The 4,956-nt window shown below is 47.9% G+C and overlaps 1 annotated feature.

Moving 5' to 3' along the window:
- Nucleotides 3,946-4,446: an enhancer, noted in NCBI's record as "H3K27ac hESC enhancer chr4:153528082-153528582 (GRCh37/hg19 assembly coordinates)". NCBI's record gives its function as "activates a minimal SCP1, AML or CMV promoter by ChIP-STARR-seq in primed H9 embryonic stem cells {active_cell/tissue: H9 hESC(primed)}" and the evidence as "EXISTENCE:reporter gene assay evidence [ECO:0000049][PMID:30033119]".

The following is a 4,956-nucleotide window of genomic DNA, read 5'->3' on the forward strand; positions in this document are numbered from 1 at the left end:
TTCCTTACAATAGGATTCGCAGGAACACTGGTGAAGGGTGAGCAGCTGTGAAAGCAAAGCCAAAGAAGAGGAAGGGTGGGAAGAAGATCAGAGAAAAGGAAGATGTGGCTGCCCATGGCAATGGGTGGGAAAAGGTTAAAAAGGACACACTGGCAGGGCACGGTGGCTCACGCCTGTAATCCCAGCACTTTGGGAAGCCGAGGCAGGTGGATCATGAGGTCAGAAGATCAAGACCATCCTGGCCAACATGGTGAAACCCCATCTCTACTAAAAATACAAAAAAATTAGCTGGGCATGGTGGCGCGTGACTGTAGTCCCAGCTACTTGGGAGGCTAAGGCAGGAGAATCACGCTTGAACCTGGGAGGCAGAGGTTGCGGTGAGCCAAGATTGCACCACTGTACTCCAGCCTGGCAACAGAGTGAGACTCTGTCTCAAAAATAAACAAACAAACAAACAAACAAACAAACAAACATAAATAAAAAGGACACCCTAAGGGGCCACCTCTGGGGGAAATGTCATGGCATCCTTGTTTCTGCCCAGTGGGGAAAAGGGCAGGATGGGCTTTCAGCTTGGACTGCAGTATTCCCACTAAACAGAGCAGAGGATAACTCTTCTCCTTTGCCACAAAAAGAAGCCCAGAGGGGTTGAGCAAGAGTGCCAAGGTTGGAGGGTCAAGCCTGTAGAAATGGAGACTCTGTTCCTAGAGTGAGAACAACTAGCAGCAGGCAATTTCCCCAACATGTCACAGGAAGCATCTCTTTCAAGTAATACAGTTTACATAATTTCAAGGTCCATGAGGCATCCCAGCAAAGCCTGGCTTGGAAAAAGAACACCCAGATAATAAGTGTAGTGGGTTGAACTATGGCCCCCTACAAATACGTCCAAGTGCTCAGCCGTGGTACCTGTACATATGACCTTATTTGGAAAAATGGTCTTTGCAGATATAATTCAATTAAGGATCTTGAGGTGAGATTATTCTTACCTCATTAACCAGGTGGACCCTAAATCCAAAGGCAAATGTCTTTGTAAGAAGAGGAGAAGACACAGAGATACAGAGAGAAGACCCTGTGGAGATGGATGTGGAGACTGGAGTGATGCAGGCACAAGCCAAGGAATGCCAAGATTGCCTGCAGCTGCTAGAGGCTGGGAGGGAGGCCTGGAACAGAGAGGGAACCCCTACCGATGTGTGGATTTTGGACTTCAGCCTCCAGAACTGTGAGAGGATATATGTATTTTTTTAATGGTGCCCAGTTGGTGGGTAATTTGTGATGGCAGCCCTAGGAAACTGACAGAGTAGGGGCCCAGCAGACCTTGTATGTCACATGAAAAGCACAGATGAGAACCAGACTCCCCTGATAACTAAGGGTTTTCATCAGTTCCTTTGGGAGTTGCCACACCAGATATCCTTTAGAGCAGGGGTCCCAAACCCTCGCCAGGTACCAGTCTGTGGCCTGCAGGGAACTGGGCCTCACAGTAGGAGCGGTGGGGGAGTGAGCATTACCACCTGAGCTCTGCCTCCTGCCAGATCAGAGCTGCAATAGAGTCTCATAAGAGCATGACCCCTACTGTGAATTGCACATGCAAGAGATCTAGGTTGAGCACTCCTTATGAGAATCTAATGCCTGATGATCTGAAGTGGAACAATTTCATCCCAAAACTATCCGTGCCCCTCTGCCTCGTGGAAAAATTGCCTTCCATGAAACCAGTCCCTGATACCAAAAAGGCCATGGACTGCTGCTTTAGAGTCTGGGTTTAAGGTCACTCTATTGTGAAATACAGAAAGTTTTCATTCCACGGGGAGGGTTGGTTTATTTGAATCCACTCCTGTTACACTCCGGGAATCCTGAGTGGGAAAGCGCTCGGGATATAGACATTCCTTTCTAACTCCTGCCAGGCAAACAGCCCATGGGAGAAGCTGCTGCCTAGCGATTCTGGCTTGTTTCTGGCTGCTCCCTACTATTTGCAGAAGACTCTACTAATGGAAAGTTCCGGCGCAGATAGGCCTCTTAACACGACAGGTTTCCTATCAAGGAAAGGGAGCAGCTTGCCCTTCTAGATCTGGGCTGCAGTCATTATTTCTGCTCTAAGCAAACACCCATCTCTCCCCCAAACTGCCTTTCAGTGGGCTTCCTAGAAACACCTATGAAATGGTTTCTCCTGTAGTCAGAGAAGGCTGGGAAGCCTGCATTCCTGAGGGGAGGGCCCCTGCAATGCAGTTTGGTAAGCACCTTGATGGCAGGAACCCTGCCCTATGCTCTGCCCTGTCTCCAGGGCTCTCCAGGCACCCAGCACACAGTTCAGGTTCAGGGCGCACCTGTGGAGCCCTTTTCTCCAGGTGCCAATGAGAATTTCCACAGGAGCCAACTCCAACAGTAGGGTGGAGGGCTCCTGTGGTGAGATTAGGGTTTGCACAGACCAGCTCTGGGGCAGACGCTTGAGGGAGGGGATTGCATAAAAAACTGCATCCCCATCTGTTTCTGCTGCCCTTTCCACGCCAAACTTTAAGCCTCTATAAGAGAATTACCTAGCTGGCCACAGAGAGGAAGGACAGAGAGCCCGGCGCAGGTCCTCTGTCCATGAAAACATAGGTGCCAGCTTCCAACATGAAGGATGGCCCATCACTAGATGGATGCAAAGATGACATTCGGAGCCACTCCATTTTCAAATGGGCAAAAGCAAAGCAACGGCCCTTCCTTTTCATCTGGCAGGGTATTTTCTTCACGCAGCAGCACTTAGCAACGGCTTCATCCCTCCTGATTAGTGCTGCCATTAGAGAAATGATTCCTCAGCACAGTGAGTCATCTCAGAGCCTGACAACTGTAACCATTCCAGATGGTGAGAACATCAGTGACCATAATGGCCCTTCCTGTCAGTGTTTGCTGCGGATTGTTCTCGGAACCGCAGGGGACAGACACAGGCTTATAGCCTGTAGAGATTTACAAGGGGTGACTGCAAAGTGATGACACTGACTCCATGAGCCACATGTGGAAGTCAGTCGCCTTTTCTGTATAGTCACAGTTTTCATGAGGGGGCAGAACACAACATCAACTGGGAGAGGCAAAGAATGAAAAGATGCATGCGACCCAGCAGAACGCCAGGCAAGAAATCAGAAACAGGTGCTCAGACGGTCTCTGGGACAGGGCTGTCAACATGAGGGCTCTTTGCAGGCTTTTTTCATAGACAGACTTGCAGGCCTCAGAGGAAAAGAGAGGCATCCAAGATGTGTGCCTTTCAGTGTGAAGGGATAAAAAAAAAAGAAGCAATCTGTGGTTACTCATGTAGACAGCAAAAAGTCCAACATCTTGGCATTTCAGATTTTCAGGGAAAGATATGCCAAGTTAAAGAAAAATAAAGCCAGTTTTTAGAATTTGTGGAAATGACTTCATGAAGCTGGTTAAATTAAGCAATTCCCCCCCACCTGAATTTCTGGCTCCTTGGGAGAGCTGGAAGAACGTTCTAAGCACAGCTGAATTTATTTTACCAATTTTCAGGCTTACGTTATAAAAAATGGTACAGGCGAAACCTCATCATCATTATGGCAAAGTGAAGTGCTCATTTCACAATTGGTTGTTTAAAGTTAATACTAAATCAACTGAGCAGCCACTATAAAGATGAGGCATTGGCTTAATTCCTTGTTGTTACAGAGATAGCAGCTGAGTTAATATATACATGGAGATGCTGGCAGACGGTTCCTTTTGGTAATAATATTCAGTTTTATGAATGGCTCATTTATTTTTTATGCATTCCTCTTTAGCCCTGCCCTCATTTCTCCCCTCCGTACTAAGTCTGGGTCCCAGGACTCTGAAGGTGGAAGAGGAACGATGGCGCTGCATGCTAATGGGGAGGAGGCTGCCACCCAGGACAGCTCCAAAGCAGTGAAAAATGAGGAGAAAAAAAGATGAGGAAAACAACTCAGTGGCAGAAATTGGGTGCCAGTCAGCTGGTTATTTACTGAGTCTACGCCCAGTGTGTCTTCGTAGGTGTGTTTGTTTCAAATCCAGGCAGTGACGCATGGTTACAGTGAAGATCTGCCTGCTCACCTCCTGCAGGGGAACTTAATATGCACAAGGCGTTTTATCTCTTTCATCTAATCAACTGAAGAACGAGAGGAGCATACTCTCATTTGAGGTACAACCCTCAAAGAAAAATGCATCAGACCTTTGTCTTCAAAGTCACTGGGGCAGGATGGAGAGAGGCTGTCAATTGCTCCAGCTTTTCTTGCAGCTGCCCCTATGTTTACAGCAGAGCCCTGAAGGGTCTGATCGACACTGTTAAGCAGTTTCTGTGTTTTGTCTGCCCACCAGGCTATTCGCTTTCCCAGAGTGTCAGTGTTTACCAGCACTTCAGCAGGAGGGCACTGGGTCTGCCCCTGGTTATCCCCCAGAACATTCCTTCCTCTCTGCTTGGCTCTCCCTCCGCATAGTCGTCCTGTGGAACACAGATGCCAATGGGAACACCGGAAAAGGGATGGTTAAGGAGCTCTTTGGGCTCACAGGCCACAGCTGCAGGAGAGCTGAGACTCCTCAAACAGATGAGAGGCAGTCGAGCAAAGTGGTTAAGAACTTCAGCTGCGGAGGCAAACTGCCTTGCCTGGAATCCTGGGTCTCTGCTGACTAGATGTGTGACCCTCAGCAAGTTGCTTAACCTCTTTGTGCCCCGGTTTCTGGGAGATGAATATAATAATAGTATTTCTCTCATAGGCTTGTTGTGAGGTTTAAATGAGTTAATGCAGGTAAATTACTTAGAACGTTACCTGGTGTTATGGTCTGAATGTTTGTGTTTCCCCAAAATTCATATGTTGAAATCTAATCACCAAGATGATGGTATTTGAAGCTGGGATCTTTGGGAGGTGATTAGGTCATAAGGACAGGGCCATCATGAATGGGATTAGTGCCCTTTGAAAGAAGACCCCAGGCTGGGCACAGTGACTCACGCCTGTAATCCCAGTACTTTGA

Source organism: Homo sapiens, chromosome 4, assembly GCF_000001405.40.
Source record: "Homo sapiens chromosome 4, GRCh38.p14 Primary Assembly".
Taxonomy (NCBI): domain Eukaryota; kingdom Metazoa; phylum Chordata; class Mammalia; order Primates; family Hominidae; genus Homo; species Homo sapiens.